The sequence below is a fragment of the Homo sapiens genome, chromosome 5 (assembly GCF_000001405.40).
Source record: "Homo sapiens chromosome 5, GRCh38.p14 Primary Assembly".
Classification (NCBI taxonomy): domain Eukaryota; kingdom Metazoa; phylum Chordata; class Mammalia; order Primates; family Hominidae; genus Homo; species Homo sapiens.
Window position 1 is genome coordinate 64,716,424 of NC_000005.10, and position 19,078 is coordinate 64,735,501.

The 19,078-nt window shown below is 34.7% G+C and overlaps 2 protein-coding genes across 2 annotated transcripts in view; one reads left to right on the plus strand and one right to left on the minus strand.

Annotated features, from left to right (window-relative positions):
* The window catches only part of SHISAL2B (shisa like 2B), a 27,688-nt gene extending 25,921 nt beyond the window's left edge, over positions 1 to 1,767 (plus strand). The window contains exon 3 of the mRNA NM_001164442.2: positions 1,466 to 1,767. Coding sequence (NP_001157914.1) covers positions 1,466 to 1,599 — 134 coding nt within the window. The 3' untranslated portion in view covers positions 1,600 to 1,767. The remainder of the gene's footprint in view (positions 1 to 1,465) is intronic.
* The window catches only part of SREK1IP1 (SREK1 interacting protein 1), a 50,544-nt gene continuing 33,190 nt past the window's right edge, over positions 1,725 to 19,078 (minus strand). Inside the window, exons 4-5 of the mRNA NM_173829.4 lie at positions 11,684 to 11,756; positions 1,725 to 8,150 (exon numbers count right to left, since the gene is read on the minus strand). Coding sequence (NP_776190.1) covers positions 7,961 to 8,150; positions 11,684 to 11,756 — 263 coding nt within the window. The 3' untranslated portion in view covers positions 1,725 to 7,960. The remainder of the gene's footprint in view (positions 8,151 to 11,683; positions 11,757 to 19,078) is intronic.

The following is a 19,078-nucleotide window of genomic DNA, read 5'->3' on the forward strand; positions in this document are numbered from 1 at the left end:
TCTTGGAATGTGGTACTTAAATTTTAGTGAGAGGAGATAGACAATAACTGATAAGCATGATAAATAGGTAAATTATATTAGTTAATAAGTGCTTTGGGGGGAGAAATGGAGGACAGAAGGGGTTGGTGATGGGGATATGGAGGCTGCAATTTTAAGTAATGTTTTGGGTAGGTCTTATTGAGAAGATGACTTTTGAGGAAGGACTTGGAAAAAAGTGAGTTATTGTGCAGATTATCTGGAAGAAGAGCATAGTAGACAGAGTGAATAATCAGTGCAAAAGTCCTAAGGGCTGGAACATGCCTGAAATGTTTAATCAAAGAGGTTGGAGTGAACCAAAGAATGAAGTAGAAAAAAATGAAGTCAGAGGTTAATGGTGTGTGTATGAAATCATGTAGGCCACTGTATAAGACTTGGGTGAATGGAGGGTTCTCGGCAGAGGGCATGATTCAACTTATTTTTTAAAGAATAGCTCTTTGAATGTTGTGCTGAAAACAGAATAGTGGTAGCAGTGAAGATGGTGAGAAGTGGTCTGATTCTGAATGTATTTTAAAAGTATAGTCAACAAGGATTTCTGATGGATTGCATGTAGGGTGAGAGAAAAGAGAGGCATCAAGGACCAGAGGTTTTTGGCCACTGGACTGTGGATTTAGCAACATGGAGGTAATTAGTAATGGTGAAGTAGCAGGGAGTAAAAAAGAATGGTGTCCTGGAAGCCAAGGAAATAACTGGATCAACTGCTGCTAAGAAATCAAAGAAGATGAGAATGAACTGGACTGTGCATTTAGCAACACTGAGGTCATTAGTAATGTCTGTGATTTCTTCCACTGTTCTTTACGTATTTATGTTATTTTCTATTGGTGAAATGATACATTAATTATTTCTACAATCATTCAACTTTTCCTAACACTGTTCATTGAATAATCCATTTCTTTGCTATGTTTGTTTAGACTAACTTCTGATCAGCAAAGATCCATATTCCTTCACCTTTGCTCATTTTGGACTCATATTTATATGGAGTGAGTGAATGGGATTGTGGCACTACTGTGTCCTTTTAATAAACCACATCTAAATCAGTTATAATGGCAAAGCCTTAAGGTTGGGCAAGTTACTATGATTGGCTTTAGTGTAGTTTATGCATAGGAGAGGGACAGTCACACTTTTGTTAAGTCACTCAGAAATTGTTACCTTCTTATCAGATGTGTAGTTATTTTCCTCATGGAAGCATGGAGGAAAAAAGGTAAGCATGGAAATAAATTTTTTTATTACTGAATTATTTCCCTTATTTGACTTTCATAAGGAAATACTCAAAAACCACTTCAAAATAACTCAATTCTCACTCATACACATAGCATTTTCAGGACATCATATTTTCAATATTGCTACAAAAATTATTTTTAAGTGCAAATTTTTATAAGTGAAACGATGTCATAATTTCAAATAATTATTTTGTTTTGTGTATCTGCAGGCAAGTCAAATGGAAAAACCAAAGCCCTCAATTCAAATGCAGCATCAAATGCAACAAATGAAACATACTATGAAGCTGATGATATAATTCAAGAAAAAACAATGGATGCAACACAAATCCACATTGCTTATTAACTAAAAATTCTGTGTTTTAAATGCTTACTGGAGAGATGGGACAATAAAAATAAAGCGTGCACTTGAAACGGTTTGTAATATTGCTTTTCAAAAATTCGTCACTCACAAAGCAAGACACAGCTGCATTTTTGATCATTCAGTTACTTTATTAAACGCACATTAAGGTTTTATTGGTTTTCCTTTGTATAAATTTATTTGCTAATTAAGATGTTTCTGTATCACATGAGATTATGCTAATTATTCAGGAGAAATTAAATAATTTATCAATAACAAGATAAGCAGTCCTATCTCAGTGAAGAACAGTGAGAAGTTTATGTCACATTACCAGCATTTCTCAACTTTCTGATACTTACAGGCAGTTATTCTTATGAGATGGTACTGGATAGGTAAATATCAAGGGAACTGTCTTAAAAACTAGAGGTGACTTGTTCTTAAATCTCTTAGAAGTCAACCCACATCTTTTTAGATTTTTCTGGGCACAAACAATATACTCAGTAACAAAAAAATCACAATGTATAATCTGTACAATAAATATTTTGTTTCAAGAGATAAGCATAACAAAAAATCCTTTGCTGATATATTTCCTAAATAATCTGTATAATGAAAGCTACAAAACAAATGAGTTCTCTGGTCCCACCTAATGCTATCACATTAATACCACCTAGAAATCTAGAAATAAAACTAATTTCTGCAAATTATAATTTTTAAAGATTTTTATTCATAAGTGTGTTTTCTATTATAACACAGACCTGGTTTTGTAACAGAATTCAACAGAAAAAAAAAGGGAATTATTTTAAGCAGCTCTACTGAGCATATCTACTATGTCCTGTAGTTTTTGTAGTCAGAAACTAGCATTTCAGACAAGATCTGGCACATTTAGGGTGGTATGGCCATAGCCAAAAACTAGCATTTCAAAATGTGCTGAATACAGCTTCTCTGGTCTGATATATAAAAAAGAATACCTTATTTTTCTTGGGCATGCAAAGCTCAGGGTTACAAACTTTTCGTCATTAGCCTGTCAAAATTTCTACCAAGTACTAAGGTTATCTTCTAGACCAGAATTAAGAGAAGTTTCTGTGATGATGGAAATGTTCTTTCTATATCTGCACTAATATGGTAGCCACCAGTCACATGTGGCTACTGAACACTTAAGATGTGGCTAATGCAACTGAAAAAATAAAATTTTTCATTTATTTAATTAATTTAAATAACCCTATGTGGCTATACTGGCACCATAGTGCCAGATCACTATTGCAACAACCTACTGCCAAAGTTGAACTTCACATTCAAAAATACAATTTTGCAAAGGTTTAAATACTAAAATTGCTTAAAGTATATGTTAAGTTTGAAAATTAAGACATTTCCATTATAAAAATGACATTTTACACGGCCATAAAAACAAAGAATTTTCACTTATTTTTTGTGAAAGTTTATAAAGCTTTTATGGGTGCTTCTTGATCTTTGATACAACTTTGATTTTAAAGTATCCCAGAAAATTTGCTATCTTTACAGTAATTTAATAATATTACCATATTGTCTCAGGTGAAAATCTAGGTTGAGAAAAATTTAGTTAAGGCACTGGCACCATTCTACTTTTGTTGCTCATGGCCAAGGACTATAAATGGCACAAGAAGCAAGAAACAGACAGAGCTAGCAAAATGCTCACTGCCCCAACTCCTCCCAATTTGTGGGAAAGGCATAGTGGGGTCAGGCATGACTGGATGCATCATGGGTTGTGCTATAGAAGAGGCACCCCAATTCTCTGCCACTCTACCTATTTTTAGAGGAGTTGGGAGGAGATACTGAGATCAGAAGACTGGCCTTCGCAACTGGGATTATTGTCACACTGGTATAAGAAACCTACTGTTCTTGGGCACCCAATGTCCAGGAAGTTTTGGTCTCAGCACTAGGATCAGCTGGAGTCCTTGAAGCACTCCCTGCTGAGCTAGCTTATCACTAGGTTACCTGAGGTAGAACCACAGGGCTCATCCAGTGGACCAACTGGTATGTTTCTCTGTAACTCTGAAGCAGTTGTGCTTCACAGGTTAAGCCAAATTTTAAAAGCAAGGGGCCTTATTAAATTACAGCACATTTTGTACACTGAAAAATATTCTAAATGGTTTATTCGGACCTAACAAATATTAAAATAGTGATAGAATTTAAGTCAGTCAAAAATAACCTAAAATACAATTAAGAACAAAACACATCTCAAAGTATGTACATGTACATATAACTCTGGGGATGGATCTAATAAAGAATACAGTAGCTTTATGTGTTTTTAGATGATTTAGGTTACTGTGTAATTTTTGGAAATAATAATGAGACTGTAGAAAGAAATGTGAGTCTAATAATAGAGCCTAAAATAATCAAATTATATTTTATGTAGCCTTCTAATGAAAGCAATTTCATCTTTTAAAAATGGTGGGATTAATCGGATTATGAAATTGATAAAACCAAACCCTAATAAAAGTCATTTCCTTCCTTAAAATCTTTTTTTTTTTTTGAGATAGAGTCTCGCTCTGTCGCCCAGGCTGGAGTACAGTGGTGTGATCTCAGCTTACTGCAACTTCCACCTCCTGGGTTTGAGCGATTCTCCTGCCCCAGACTCCAGAGTAGCTGGGAATACAGGTGCCTGTCACCACGTCCGGCTAATTTTTCTATTTTTAGTAGAGACAGGGTTTCGCCAAGTTGGCCAGGCTGGTCTTGAACTCCTGACCTCAGGTGATCCGCCCGCCTCAGCCTCCCAAAGTGCTGGGATTACAGGCGTGAGCCACTGTGCCCGGCCCCCCTTGAAACTCTTTAATGGTGTCTCATTGCTTACACATTACAGTTCAAGCTCCCAAACACGGAACACACGACTCCTTCCTCCTGTTCCTAAGAACTTAAAATGGTAGTCTCAATTCTTACCACTTCCTGCCTCGCCTATGATACACCAGCAACACCAGATTGCTTGTAATTCTTGACAAACACATAACACAGCTTGTTCTACCTCTGGTGTTTGTTCACAGTACCCACTCTGTCAGGAACTGCCATAACCCTCATTCTTATCCTTAATCAAATTGCAATTCAGTCACTACTTTCTCTAGGTAGCCTCTTCTAATTTATCCAGACTACTTTAGGTAACCCCGAGTTTCTATAAACTCATGTTCATGTCAATTACTGCACTAATTATATAACGGTGTATGCTCTGGTGTTTCTCCTACCAACTACACTGTGAAGTCCTTCAGGGAGGCAAATGTGTCTTACTTATCTCTGTATCCCCAGTACTTAGCACAGCGTTTGCCACGTTAGGTACTCAATAAATATTTGTTGAAGAAAGGATTCAATGGCATTTTTATCAACATTATTAACAACTCTTCAGCCTAGTTTACTCTGAAGGTAAACTAGGGTTATATAATTTTAGATACAGTTGTAAATACAAACACATATAGTTGTTTTACTTCTCATTTATTGTTGTTTTGACCTCAGAGAGTCAAAGATGTAAATGGAGATGTATATTAAGTATGAAGAAATAGGGATACCTCTGAGAAATATCAACCAACATATGATATGCAAAAAAAAAAAAGGGGGAAATTGTGTGGTGAGAAGGTCCATCAACCCAAAAATAATGGCCATAAAGTGCCAGATAATCTAGTTCCAGATGCAAACCTAAATATAAATTCTGCCTGCATTTGGTGAAAATGACATGCATTAGGTTGTAAGAATATGAACCAAATATCAATTATCTGCTTGAAGAAGTTGAACGTGTTTATTATATTAATAAATTCAACCTTTACTATTATAGAATGTTATAATAATTTCTAAAGTGAATATTGCTTGAATTTTAAAATATTGATAATTATATATATTAAACCTTGAAGTGATTTCAGAGATAATCTGGTACAATATTTTATAGACGAAAGACACCAAGGCCCAGGGAAACTAAGTGACTTTGTTCAAGATCATACAGGTAGTTAGAATGACCAGGACTGTTTTACTGCTAAATTCAGTTTTCCTTCTGGTACATACTGCCTGGGAGGGAATTTCATTAATTTTCTTCTAAAACATATTCATGAGATTTGCATCCAATCTCAATAATAATATCATATTAGAAGAAAATTACTTCAGTGAAAATAAATTTTTATTCAATTTCATAAACTATGCTAAAATTATGGGAAATTTACTTAGAAATGCCAACATCATTTCTGGGGGGAAAATTACTGATCATTAAAATATTTTAATTTGCATACTACATTAGTTAACGAGGACTGACTTTTGCTCTTCTCAGTCATTATTGTGTCACCATTCAGAAACCTAATGAGCCAATTTATAATCTCTACAATTAACAGTAATAAAACTTACAAGTAATTAACTATTTCACTACAATTACTATCATTTTTAACTATCTTACTCAATGGAATAAGGTCATTGCCTTTGTAGCATTTTCTAATTATTTTTTAATATTTTATTTTACTGTTATTTTTTCAAGGCTAGTCAAGTCAAGCAGTGGGAGTAAAGAAACACCACTGCACTTGTGCCAGCCTCGTTTTTAAAAAAGCTTTATATTAAAAACCGATTTTTAAAATCTTGATAATCGAAGAATATTTTCAAAAAACTAGCAGCAAAGGCAAAACAAATCCCTAAAAACCTACTGGCTCTGTATTTTTTCTCCCAGTAACTGACTGACCTATTTAAACAAAAGCATTTCCTTTTGAGAGGCCCAAATGACTAAATTAGGTTATGGAAGGGTTGAAAGCGTGAGAGCTCTCATGGCTGCAATGCAGAGGGCTGTGGATACAGCTTCCCTAGAATTTAAGCATGGGTAAGCATATGTTAAGAGGAGTTATAAGGCTCCCTGAGTCTTACTGAGGGTATCCACATTGGGTGCCAGGTGAAACAAGAATCAGTAAACCTTTCTAGCCTGTGAGGTTAAGTATACTTAGCTGATTTCACTATCATGAATTCACCTGCAGCCGTATCTATAGGTTATCAATTTGAAAATTTCTAAGCGCACCATAGTGAGGTATTTGCAATCTTTGGTGCTGTGCCATGACATTGGTTGATGTTCGATGCTTCTACAACATAAGCATTTACTTTAGTGGACATAAGGGCTACCTAAGTATTAAGCAAAGTAACACTGATCAATGTGAAAATAGAAATTTAAAAAACGTATCTACTAATATGTGTTTGAAAATGCTTACCCATATAAAATTTCCATTATTATACAAAGGCTTTCATGATGCAACTCCCTGGCTCTTAAATTTTAAAAAGTACAGAATAAAATTCTCAATTCTTTTTTTGACACTTTTTACTCTTGAGTTTGCCACTAAAGTAAAAGAGAGAAACATCCCAAACTGGTCATTTATGAAAACGTTAAGTTCAGTGTGAAACTTGCTTTAAAACTACAAATTATGTCAGACAAAATAAATATATATGCTCACATTTATAAAATTTTCCACAGTACTCATAGAAACAAGCTTCATAAAATTTATACTGAATACAATAAAAATCAGTTCTAATAAAGATTTAGCTATCTTCCTAAATAAAAATTTCTGTGTTTGAGGTATCACTGTAAGACATGCCAATATGGCACATTTGTAAAACAACCCAGGAGTCTATTCTAAAAATCACAACCAACTCAGCATCATCTCTGCAGACTTACTAACAGGCTGAACTAATCTCTTTATACAAGAAGTATTTTAATTATTACAAAAACAAAGGAGGCAGGTACTAGAAATTCTGCATTTCATAGAAGAGTAAAACTTTGTTAGAGATATTTTCATGATCATCTACCTGCAGACACCATTCATTTAAAAAGTCCTAGTCAAGACCATTAAGCAGCTGCATCTTCTACAACATTGAAAAAAAATCCCTAGAGATTTAAAAAACTGAAGAATTTCACTATCTTTAAAAGATATTATATTTTAGTACATAAAGCTATTAAATTTCTCTGTGTCAAGAGCAAAACATTACCCCTTACCTTGCTTCATCATTGGAAGGTGGACACCTGATCCAGCAATACTCATTAACTGCTAGGTAGATGACCCATGTTGATGGCAGTAAAGCCATTTTACAATGAACTTATGAAGTAGTAACACTAGCCAAACACACAGAGACACAAATACCAAAAATGATGTGTTTAGTATACACAAATAGCTATACTTGGGGCATGGCTATCAAGTAACAAGACTGATTTAATACTTTACAGTTACAGCACATTAAAAATATATTGCCAGAGGGATAATGGTCCCAAATACGAAAAATGTCTATATGGAAAAGGCTGTGATTTATTGCAAAGCATAATATATAGCAAATTCCAAGGAAGGGCAAACACGTTTTAAAAACAAATTTTTAAATTTAACGGCTTAAGCCAAAGTCTCAGTTACTTTCTGGAGAATTCAGAACTATTAGGTGTAGAAGAATGCTTTTCCTTTTTTCTCTTCTTTTTTTCCTTTTTGTGATGTTTCCCTTTTTTTGATTTACTCTTTTTTTCTTTTTTCTTTTCTTTCTTCTGATATTTTTGTTTCTTTTGTTTTGAAGTGTCCTCTTCAGTGGAACTGGATGAGTAAGACCTATGGATAATAATACATACTGACTGAGAATTGCATTTATGACTGATAGATAAATTTAAGTGGGATTTGAACTGCCTTAAATTCTTCTTGGAGTAAGGTAGGGAGTATAAACATAAACTTAAAAAATGCTTCATATATTTGCATTCCCTTAAAACGATGAATTTAGAATTTTTGCTGCTTGGTCACAGAAACCAACAAAACTAGTATCTATTCCACTCAATACTAATGTAATGAGTTTTAAAGTCAATAAGGATGAAATTATTTTTCTGTGATTTTTGGTTTTTCATGCAGTCATATCATTCAAAATCCTAAAAGGCAAACAAAGGGGCATTCACCAAGCCTTATTATATTCACTTGTGTATACAATAACTTCGCATATTTTCTTAAAAGTGTCTCAAAAGTTGCAATTCTCTATTTTAAAGGGCTATAATTGTACGTTCATATGAATGAATGAAAGCTGAAAGTTAGCAAAATAAAAGCACTTTTGGTAATTCTTCTGATTTTTCAAGTACTTGATCCCTCTAGACGGAGAGTGATACAGATGAATACTTGCATTACAAAATAATTTTCATTAGTTACAAAAGGATGCTTTTATGCTATATATAAATGAAAAAGGATGGGTTATCATTGTGCTTTTGAAAAATATTACTCTAATACTAAATTGAAAAAATTGGTTCAATTCCTTCCTCTAATATTCATAAAAAAAAGGAAAAGAAAAAGAAAAAAACAGAAAACCCTATCTTTTAAGATCTTACTTAAAGAGATGTGCAACATTCTACCTATACTCAAACTCAAAATATGAGTGACAAGACAGAAACTGAGTTAATTTAAAATGTAAACAAAGGTATCTAAAGAGTTAGTTTAGTGATCTAAATATTAGGAGTTAAAACTCAAACTAAGAAAATCTGAGACGGATATAAAGGAGGTGCCAATGTAAATTCAGGAGACTACAGGGCTCCAAGGCTATTTTGTGTCTGTATAGTGTGTGAATTCCTTGACTGCCTTCCTCCTTTAGTGACTCCGAGTTTTCCCTTATTTTTGTAATGTTGTGTTCCTTTTTCCTCCTTGTTTGTCTACTTACTTAGACTTCCAATCATCTGTTAAAGCTTATTTTCTCATGTATTCTCCTGCACCCTTGCCTCTTCAGTTGTTATTCTCAAATCTTGTCTATTTTCCTCTTTTAAAGACCCTGTTTGACTTGACCTCTGGATTCTGACTAAAGCTTCTTCCCTGCCTGCACTTTTTTCTTTAGCTTTTTGGTCCTGAAGTTTTTTTTTTTGTTTGTTTCTTTTTTTTTTTTTTTTTTCTGAGACAGAGTTTCACTCTTGTTGCCCAGGCTGGAGTGCAATGGCGTGATCTCGGCTCACTGCAACCTCCGCTCCCCCGAGTTCAAGCAATTCTCCTGCCTCAGCCTCCCAAGTAGCTGGGATTACAGGTACCCACCTGTAATCCACCAGCTAATTTTTTTTGTATTTTTAGTAGAGATGGGGTTTCACTGTGTTGGCCAGGCTGGTCTCAAACTCCAGACCTCAGGTGATCGACCCACCTTAGCCTCCCAAAGTGCTGGGATTATAGGAGTGAGCCACCGTGCCTGGCCTGAAGTCTCCTTTTTAAGGCAAAATTTCAGGCTGTGGCATAGCAACACTTTCAGGGGGCACTATCTCTGCTAAGTGTGCACAGAAAAGTTAATTTAATTTCAGGTTTGTGATGCTCAAGGTAAAGAGGCCCAAATAAATAATCTGTTACTATAAAAAATATTTGGGAGGCTGAGGCAGGCGGATCACAAGGTCAGGAGATTGAGACCATCCTGGCTAACACGGTGAAACCCTGTCTGTACTAAAAATACAAAAAAATTAGTCGGGCATGGTGGTGGGCACCTGTAGTCCCAGCTACTGGGGAGGCTGAGGCAGGAGAATGGAGTGAACCCGGGAGGCGGAGCTTGAAGTGAGCTGAGACTGTGCCACTGGACTCCAGCCTGGGCAACAGAGCGAGACTCTGTCTCAAAAAAAAAAAAAAAAAAGAAATATACAGATGTACTTCAACTTATGATGGAGTTACGCCTTGATAAATCTATCTGAAGCTGAAAATACACAAAATACAGCTAACCTACTGAACATCATAGCTTAACGTGGCTGCCCTTAAATATGCTCAGAACACTTACATTAGCCTCTAGTTGGGCAAAATCATCTAACACAAAGCCTATTTTATAATAAAGCATTGAATATCTCATGTAATTTATTGAATACTGTCCTGAAAGTGAAAAATAGAATGGTTGTATGGGTACTTGAAGTACATTTCTACTGCACCATCATAAAGTTGAAAGATCATATCAAACCACATAAATTGGGAACTATCTGTATTAGAATTTGGAAGACTATCAGATATCATTTCCTGTGAGCAATCCATCTTCCTGTGCTAGAATAAATGATTTAATAATACATTAACAGAAAACCCTGAGCTCTAAATTCCTATTTGTTTTTATATTAAAGATTATTAGTTAACTCCTAACGCTTGAAAGTGGGCTACTTTTCCAATTTATAAGATACCTGAAATATTAAAATACATGTATTAAATGCTCTATAAAAACTACAAAGTGGCAGCCCCTGGTTTCTACAACCTATTCTGTATGAGAACTGGGTCTAAACTAGAAATAATTATGGTTAAGTGCTTTTAAAAAATGCCTGTATGTGCAAATTTATGCTAGTATGAATGAAACTGCACGCATTAACAAGAGAAGTGGCCACTTACTACTTTCAATAACTTCTTTAACCAGTTAGTTTTTAAAAGAGTTAATAGTAAAAATGCACAGGTGGCCGAAGACTGGAAGGAAGTTGTGATGCTAAAAATTCCTTCAGGTCTTTCACAACCCTCATCAGCCACCATATATATATATATATATGAAACTGTCAGGCTAAATACATATAAATACAAAGGTGTGTGTATGTGCATATAATTACATATATATATATATATATATATATTTTTTTTTTTTTGGTGGGCGGGGGGCAGATAGGGTCTTGCTGTGTTGCCCAGGCTGGAGTACAGTGGTGTGATCATGTCTCCTGGGCTCAAGCAATCCTCTCACCTCAGCCTTCCACATAGCTGGGAACACAGGTACATGCCACCACACTTGGATAATTTTTCTTTTACTTTTTGCAGAGATGAGGTCTCCCTATGTTGCCCAAGCCTGTCTCAAACTTCTGGGCTCAAGCCATTCTCCTGCCTTGACCTCTCAAAGTGCTGGGATTATAGGCATGAGCCATCGCACCTGGACAGCATGACAAGTTCTATTAAATTCTATTAATAAGTTAATTTATTAGCCATGGTAATATTACAAGAATACAAATATTTTAGTCAATTTCATGTATATGAAGACAAAATATATATTAAGAGTTTAAACTTAAGCTCAATGAAAAGCTTAGTTGTTGAAGAAAAAATATTAAATTAACTATTATACACAAAAAATAAAATTTTATAATCCATCCTAAACTCATAGGCCTGCTTTGTTTTTTAAAATGTTGTTCAAAAAATACCTTTTCCTTTTTTTTTTCAATTTGATTTTTTCTTTGCTTTTTTCTTTCTTCTTTTCCTCTTCTTCATTTATTCCTGTGGGGGAGAGGTGAGAAGAAAAAAATCTGGTTAATATATGATTCTATATATTAATATGGCATGTATATATGTTAAAATTTTAGCTGTTGGTGAATTTCACTGGTTAGGATAATTTTTGTAATAATTTTCCCCTTTCTTAATTATCTTTATCCATTAAAAAACTCATAAAAGTATTAAATGTTTTTTATAAACATTTCAAATACTAAGTCCATCAAGTAAAAAAATGCAAGTACCCCACCTCTAATTCCCATAGGAAATCAAGGCCAGTGGTTTGATGGGTATTGTTTGGCCCTTAAAAAGCAGAACACTACAACAGTGCACAGTTTTAAAATTTTATTTTGCAACAAAATTAGGATCATGCAATATGTATTATTCTCTAACTTGTTTTTTAAATACACTATTTGGTGTGTATTCTTGTAGGCATTCTTTATATAAAACCAAATACACACACATTTACTCATACACACATAGTTGCATATAAGTTCCAAGTATTTTTTGCCTTTGAAAAATGTACTGTCACATATATTTTGCAGCTTTTTTTTCACTTAACATAGCAGATATTTATCTTTGTCATTAAATATATATCATTATTAAACACAGAAGTGTTCCCATTAACCATATTTTATCAATTTCTACTTTCATTGTTAGAAACAATAAGCAATGGAAATCTTTGTACATATAAGAAGTATTTCTGGGTGACAGAACTTGTGTATATTTAAAGAAAAAGCAGGCTGGGCGCGGTGGCTCATGCCTGTAATCCCAGCACTTTGGGAGGCGAGGCGGGTGGATCATGAGGTCAGAAATTCGAGACTAGGCTGGACAACATGGTGAAACCCCATTTCTACTAAAAATACAAAAAATTAGCCAGGCGTGGCGGCAGGAGCCTGTACTCCCAGCTACTCGGGAGGAAGCCTTGGGGTTATTTGGCAAGGTAAAGAATAGACATCAGTTTGTCTCATAAAATCCTAGGAGATTTTTATTGACCACGCTTTCATTTATTCAACAAATATTTACTAAATGCTTATGTGTCAAGTACTGTGCTATGTACTGGGTCTTTGCTGTGCATGATCCTTGCCCACAGGGAACTTATAGTTAAGTGGTGAGAAAGAAAATTAACAGGCAAAGATAGCATTCTAAGTGAACAGCAAGGGTAGTGCATGTCAGGAAGAGGAAATTAGTGCCAAAGCTCCAAGGCAAAAAGAGTTTGGTGCGTTCTAGAAACTAAGAAGAGGTTGTTGCGGATAGAAGGGGAGGGGCAACTATGAATAAGAATGAACATGAATGAGAACAGATGAACAATATCATAAATACATGTAGAATACCATGAAATGAGAGGCCAGAGAGGTAAGCAGGAACTTGCTTATTCAAGACCATGAAGGCAACAGTAAGGATTTTACATTCTAAGTGAGACGGACTGTGTGATCGGCAGACTTACAAGGTAAATGAATTGGAAAGGGCTAAGGGGAAAAGGCAGGGGAATAATAAAGTAACTGGAGTAGTGCAGGCCAGAGATGGTGTCCTGAGGTGATATGTGTGTGCGAAGGATGATGGAACGAAAGGAATCAAGGATGACCACCAGGTTTTTAGCAGTGCCACTGATTAAAATGTGGATTGGTGGGAAGTGGGTAGGAGCCTGAAGGACAATTGTGGGTGGGAAGTAAAGATTTCAATTTTAGACATTTGAGATCTAAAAGACCTGTTTGACATCCAAGTAGGTAACTGAAGTAGGTAGTTTGGTATGTGATTCTGAAGTTTAGAGATTAGTCTGGACACACACACTGATCAGCTTATAGATAGTATTTAAAACTATGGGGAATAAATAAAATCATTTAGTAAGAGAATGATGAGAAAAAAATACAGGGAGTAAAGCCCAGGAAGATTATCTGCATCTTGAGGAACTCCAACATTTACGGGCTGAGAAGAGCAAGAAGAAGAGCTGTCAAAAAGACTGACAAAGAAGGGCCACGGGGTTGGAAGAATACCAGAACCAAGAAGTAGGAATGTTGAAGAGAGGGGCTACCTATCAAATAGTACCTAAAGGCCAAGTAGAATGTGGATATAAAAACGCCAAATAAATTTGGCAAAAAGTATTTAAAGACCTTGACAAGTGGACTGAAAAACAAATGGAAATAAAAAGGTAGAGAAAGTAAGAATAAATAACTTTGATGAGAAGTTTAGCTAGAAAGCAGCAGAGAAATGGAATGTTAGCTACAGGGATGCAAAGGATCTAGGGAAGAACAATGGGAAAAACGAAAAAAAATTGATGCTGATTGAAATGATGACGCAGAGAGGGGATAACTGAAGGAATAAAATTCTTGAAGAAAAGAATTCATAGCAATTATGGTAGGACATGCCTTCGAAAGGAAGGACAGTCCTTCCATTTTAACTGAAGGAAAGAAAAGAAAGATGGATATATATATATGCAAATTTGTGGATTCAGTAATTGGAAGCTAAGATGCTCTCATTTGGTGTCTTCTATTTTGTCAATGAAAGAGGGAGTCATTAGCCGAAGGAGGAAGGGAGAAGTGGGAAAGGTATAAAATAAGTATGTGGAGTGAACTTGCAAAAATAAATGCAAGCTGAGATTAGGGATCATGAATTTATAGAAACACCAGTCTGCCTCTTCACCTTTGCACTGCTGTAAGGGGATCAGCATAGAGAAGGCAAAGAGGTTCATCCATATTTGGGGTTTTGCTAGATAAGGGTAAAAGATAAAGAAAGGAGTAAGGCAGTTACAGATATTTGCAAAAGAATAATGGTGATAACTATGATGGAATCTAAGCTAGATAAGGGGAAGACTAACTGAATGAAAGTGGTGGGTCAATAGCCTGAGGGTCTTTACATTAAATAAACTGGAAAGATAAGAACTTGGAGTAAAAAGCGTACAGTGTATGCCATTAATTTTGGAGGCTGAGAACAAGGTCCAGGGTGCAATCATGGAAATGTGTGGCTAAGGTGAAGAGACAGAAAAGATCATTTTCAATGATAAGGTGGAGAAGATGAGTTAGGGTGTTGTCAGGTCATTCACAGGTCATCTAAGAATGTCTCTAAGAACAATGAGAGGACTTGAGATGAAAAATAAGACAATTGAGAGTTTGAGGCTGGAGGATCGCATAAGACTCAGAGTTCGAAACCAGCCTGGTCAACATAGTGACATCATGTCTTTATAAAAGAAAAAAAAAATTAGCCAGGCATGGTGGCACATGCCTGTAGTCTCAGCTACACTGGAGGCTGAGGCGGAGGACTGCTTGGGCCCAGGAGTTTGAGGCTGCAGTGATTCCAGAAGCCATGATTGCATTACTGAACTCCAGCCTAGACAACAGAGTGGGCCCTTGTCTCAAAAAAAAAAAAAAAAAGAGGACAGGAATCTTAAAATAATTGTGAGGAATGGCCTGAACTAGATATAGGACGACAATAAAAATGGGAAGAAGCAGGAAAGCCAAATGACAGGAGCCTCAAAAGGGCATTTTGCTAAGACAATATGTTGATGATGTCTTGAACATATAAAAAATGTGAGTTATTAAAGACAATCAGTGAGAAGTATGTAGTTTAGAGAACTAAAAATGTAATTAAGGAAAAAAATAATGGCCAGACCAAAGATAAAATGTATTAAGAAGGAAAGCAGTCTTGAAATTCCAAGAACTATTTTTAATGCCTTCCAGCTCTCAGTTCTCTCTCTTCCTTTCTGGTTGTGGTGCTGGCCACCTCTTTCTTGCATGCTATCAGCTAAGGTGTCAATGGTTGGCATACTAAGTTGGAAAAAATGATTAAAGGCAAAGTGAAGAAAACAGGATGGGGGAAATAAGGCATTTTTTAAAAAGTCACATCCAATGACAATGTACATCTGGAGACTCAGAAATTGTACAAATCAGTGCTATAGGCTACTTATCTCTATTTCTAGTATCCACGATTTTGTCAGTTATGCCAACAGCTTTTTAGAAAACTGGTCAATGCCATTTGTCCTGAAAAACTTCTCTCCATTATGAGAGAAGTACTAAAACAATGCAAGTGATGAAATGCTGGGAGAGATTCTATACTATTCAAGCAGAATGAATAAATGATTTTTGAAGCTCACCTATTTCAATTACATGAAATACTTGGAAATAACAAAACACTCTATCAGCTCAGGTTCGTATTTGCAAATGACCTGACAATTTACACAGATATTCCCAAGGAGTCTACAAAAATCCAGAATCAGCTCAGCAAGAAGAAAAAATAAACATACAAAAATCAATTTATTTTTATTAGCAACGAACATGCAGAGAACAAAATTAAAGATACAGTATCATTTATAATTTTCCAAAAAAGTATATAAAAGATGTATAGGACTTATATGCTGAAAACTACACAGTGCTGATGAAAGAAATCCAAGAAGTTCTAAATAAAGAGACATACCATGTTAATGGATCAGAAGACTCAACAAAGTAATGACGTCCATTCTCCCCAAACTGATATACACATTTAATGCAATTCCTATTCAAAATCCTAGCAAAGCTTTCTGTAAATATAGTCATAAGTTTAAAATTTTTACGGAAATGAAAAGGAACTAAAATAGCTTGAACAATTTTGATGAAGAATAAAGTGGGAAGAATTAGTATCCCCATTCAAGACTTATTTTATAGCTATATGAATAAAGACTATGTGGTATTAGTGGAGGCAAAGACACATTAATCAATGAAACAGCACAGAGAATCCAGAAACAAGCACACACAAATAGAACCAACTGATTTTTTGGGGAAAAAAAAAAAAAAGCAAAGCAATTTAATGCAGGAAAGACACTTTTTAAGAAATGGTGTTGGAACAACTGAACACCCATAGGCAAAATAGATCAAGCCTCACTGCTTACATAAAAATCAACTCAAAATTTATCATGGACTTAAATGTAAAATTAAAACCACAAAACTTTTAGAAAAAAAAAAGAGCATTTTTCAGATCTATGCATAGGCAAAGGTTCTTATATTTGACACCAAAAGCACAGTCTATAAAAGGAAAACTGATCAATTGGACTTCATCAAAATTAAAAACTACTGCTTTGTGAAAGACCTGGTAAGAGGATAAAAAAGACAAATGCCATACTGGGAGTAACTATTTTCAAAACAGGTATCTGACAAAGGACTAGTGTCTAGAATGGTATAAAGAATATCAACATGTATAAAGAACATACAAAATATACACATGTACCCACATATATATACACACACACATATATGTATGTTCAGAACTCAACATTCAACAGTAATGAAAAGATGTATAACATCATTAGCCATTAGGAAAATGTAAATAAAGCAACAATGGGCTATAACTACACATGTTAGAATGCTAAGCACAAAAATGCTGGTGACAACACCAAATGCTAGTCACTCACACGCTTCTCGTAGGGACGTAAAATGGTATAGCCACTGTAGAGTTTGACAGTTTATTAGGAAACAAAATATACAACTACCATAACAACCCAGCAATTTTACTGTGGGGCATATGTCTCATAGAAATAAAGACTTACGTTCACCCAAATCCTGTTTATAGCAGTTTTATTAATAATAACCCCAAACTGACAATCCAGTGGATAAATACTTAATACTTAAACAAACAGTAGTATATCCATAACATACACTACTATTCAGAAATAAAAAATAACGAATTAGTCAGTCTGTAGAGAATTATAATTAGTGAAAAAAGCTCATCAGAAGGGTTACATACTGTAAGATTCTATTTACAAAACATTATTGAAATGACAATATTATAAAAATAGAGAGCAAAGTTTTGGTTTATAGGGCTTAGGAACGTGGTGAGGGCAAGAGAAAAGTGGATGTAGGTATCAAAAGACAGTATGAATGGTCGTTGTGGTGATGGAAATGTTCTGTGTAGACTGTATCAAAGACATTATCCTGCTTTGAAACTGTAGTTTTCGAAGATGTTACCATTGAGGGAAACCAGGTAAGGGACAAAAGGGTCTCTATGTGATTTCTTACAGCTACATGTTAATCTACAATATTCTCAAAATAAAAATTTCGATTAAAAAATCAATTGTCACATATGTATGGGTCTATTCTGTTCCATTGATCTATCTTTACATCGATACTACACTTTCATGATTACCTGTGGCTTTACAATAAATCTTGAAATGAGGTTGTGTTAGTTTTTTAATTTTACTAATCCTTTTGAAAGTGTTTTGGCTTTTCTAGGTTCTTTACATTTCCACAAGTACTTTAGAATTGGCTTGTCAATTTTTTTTATTTTTATTTTTAGAGATAAGGTCTTGCTTGGCTTGTCGGTTTCTCAAATGGCCTGCTGGAATTTTGATTGTGATTCCTTTTTTTTTAATAGATCTGCTTGGGGAGAAGTTACATTTCTTTTAAAATTGAAACTTCCACTCAATGAATATAGCGTATCTTTACTTATTTCTTTAATGTCCCTCAACAATATTTTGTAAAATATGTTTCAGTCTTGCATACCTTGTCAGATTTATATTCTTAGTATTTCATTCTTTATGCTACCATAAAAGATATCTGTAAAATTTTAACTTGATTGTTCATTGCCAGTGTACAGAAATACAATTGATTTCTGCTAACTGATCTTGTAGACTCTTGCAACTTTGCTAAACTCAGTTATTAGTTCTAGAAGCTTTTTTGAAAGATTCTGTAGATACTTCTACATAGATGATCATTTCATCTGCAAAAAAAGACAGTTTTAAACTCTTTCCTGAAATCTGGATGCCTTTATTTTTCATACCTTATTGCACTCGCTAGAATCTCCAGCAGAATGTTGAGTAGAAGTGGTATGAGTGGACATATTTGCCTTGTTTCTTATGTTATGGAAGGCCTTCAGTCTTTTATCATTAAGTATGATGTAACATTTTGGTTTTTTATAGATTTTGTATGAAGTTAATGAAGTTCTCTTCTATTTCTAATTGGCTCAGAATTTTTTATCAGAAGTATATGATGGACTTGCTGAATAATTTTTCTTAAAATATTGTGACAATGTTTTTTTTTTAGTCTCTTAAATACCATGAATTACACTGACTTCTGAATATAAAACAAATGTATTCCTGAAATAAAACCAACTTAGTCATATTATACTTTTTATATACTGCTGGATTCAATTTGCTAAAATTCTCTTAAGAATTTTTACATCTGTATTAATAAGTCTCTAACTTTCTTTTCTTGTAATATCTTAATCTGGTTTTGTTATAAGGGTAATGCTGGTCTTATAAATTGAGTTGAGAAATACTCTCCTCCCTTCAATTTTTAAAAAGATTTTACATACAAATTGTATTATTTCTCCTTTAAATGTTTTCTCATAAGAGAAGCCATTGGGCATGA